This window comes from Homo sapiens, chromosome 22, assembly GCF_000001405.40.
Source record: "Homo sapiens chromosome 22, GRCh38.p14 Primary Assembly".
NCBI lineage: Eukaryota > Metazoa > Chordata > Mammalia > Primates > Hominidae > Homo > Homo sapiens.
In genome coordinates, this window is record NC_000022.11 from 49,348,813 (window position 1) to 49,350,953 (window position 2,141).

At 59.7% G+C, this 2,141-nt stretch overlaps 1 annotated feature.

Annotated features, from left to right (window-relative positions):
* Positions 1,358-1,922: an enhancer, noted in NCBI's record as "H3K4me1 hESC enhancer chr22:49746095-49746659 (GRCh37/hg19 assembly coordinates)". NCBI's record gives its function as "activates a minimal SCP1, AML or CMV promoter by ChIP-STARR-seq in primed H9 embryonic stem cells {active_cell/tissue: H9 hESC(primed)}" and the evidence as "EXISTENCE:reporter gene assay evidence [ECO:0000049][PMID:30033119]".

Here is a 2,141-nt window from a genome sequence, read left to right on the forward strand (position 1 = left end):
CGGCTACTCCATTCAGCCCTGCAAACCACGCCACCAGACTTCCTGAGCTATGGCCTTTTTGGAAAAGCAGTGAGAAGCTCCCAGCCACACCCTCTCCTTCCCTGGTCCCCACCGACCTCACAGACCCACCCACACGGTCACCACAAAGGCCTTCCTCGGTGCCCGCACCTCCGCCACTTCCTGGCGTTTTCTCTCTCCTTCTTCAGGCTGCTGACCTGGGGAGGTCAAAACACCGGGAGCTGACCTTGACCTTGGCACCCACGAAGCAGTCCGGCGACATTCCAGGCCAAACCCGACTTGGGGAGAAAAATGTCATTTCCCAGGATTTTATATCCAGCAATCTTCCCATCCCCGGTCCCTACCAACCTATTCTAACTCCCTCCCAGGTTTCCTCAAAAACCACCCAGAGGACCGACATTCTGGTGTTGGGTGTATGGAGGGTTGGCAGATGGCAGTGGCCAGCGCATAGCAGGGGACACCCGTGCCGTCCTCGGAAACTGGATATGGGCTCGGCACGTCGGCCCACATGGCAGAGCGCCCTCAGTGTTCTGTGGTGGCCTCGGGGGGACGACACCTCTCCTTGCCCCTTCCTGACCTTGCTGGTTGGGGCCGTGGCTGGATTCCAGGCCTGGAGGTTTGGTTGCTGACCTGCGTGTGAAGCTAAGGAACTGGGAGAAGAAGGCACGAGAGGTGGCTGTGAGGCGAGGCCTGGTCAGCAAAACAGCCCTCCACACAGCCCTGCGAGAGAGGAGAGCAGGCCAGTGGCTTCTGCCTGGGTTTTCTTCCAAATCCATTTCAATTCCAGAGCTTCATGTGGAGCTTAGTGTCATATCTCAATTCAATTAGCAACAAAGCGAGTAAGGGCAGGTGGATGCTGGATTGCAGCCACCCAGGAGCAGAAAGACAATTGGCGACAGGCACTCACATCTCTGCAGAAAGGTGGAAGGAAGGGCCTGGTTTGGGGAGTAAGGGCCAGAGGACAATGGCTTATGTCCTGAGGGGCAATGGGACAGGGCTCTTGCTGCCTGGGAGGGCATGGCCCCTTGGTCAGCCACCACTGCCAGGGTAGCTCCAGCGATGGGGCCCCCTGCCAGCCACCACTCCCAGAGTAGCTCCAGCGATGGGTCCCCCGCCTGCCCTGGGCCTCTCAGAGCCCCTCCCTTCACAGGCCTGTGAGGAGCAGAGCCACAGGCTTTGAGGGACAGAGCATGCGTAGGAAATGCAAGGTCAGGCAGAGCCAGCAGGGCAGGAAACACCTGCTTTGGGAAGAGAGTTTGCCCCTCAGATCCCCAGAAGAGGGGCACCCGTGCCACGCCAGGCCACGCAGGGGCACCAGGGTCATCACACGCAGAGAAGGGGAAGCGTGGGCAAAGCCTTTACTGTGGCTCCATGGAAGGAACGGGCAGGGTGGGGCAGCGGGCTTAGGACTGCCCAGTGTGGACACCCCTGTGGGAGCTGGGCAGGGGCTGTCCCTGGCTGCCGGCCACCTGGCCCGGGGCGATGAGGGCTGGAGGATGGGACCCAGGGTGTGAGAGCCCAGGGAGGAGGGAGAGGTGGGGCCTCCAATCTGAGTGGTTTGTATTGAAAGGTGTGCTCAGAGGCAAGTCACCCACCATCTCTAGGGATTAGAGCTCGGGGGAGCAGTCCCTCCAGGGTCAGCGAGGACCTGAAGGTCAAAGCTTGGAAACAAAAGTCAGAGTTAGCACCTCTGCTGTTGGAGGCACCTGCCAAGACTCCATGGAGCTTCTGTCCCTGACCGGGAGAAACTCCGGGCTGGCCGTGCTCTCCCTGACCGCAGGCGCTGCCAGTGCCTCTGATGCGGCCCCTCCACATCCTCCAGGGCACCCTGCGGCACCTGCTCTCTGCAGCCCGGCCTCCCTGCCTCCCTAAGACCTGGGGACCAACCAGATCATGCCACCTGTTTTGCGAAACTGCAAGATAAAGTGGGGTTTGCACATCTCACTCTTCTAGCAATTATGATTCTTAAGCAGAGATTCAAAGAGACCATTGCACACCCCTGCTGGTAGAAGCCTTCTTCACAACGGCCAGAGGGTGGAAGCAGCCCAGGGGCCCATCTGTCGACAGCTGGAGGGATAAAAGCAGTAAGGCAATGCGGTCCTCACACACAGAGGGCAGCTTCG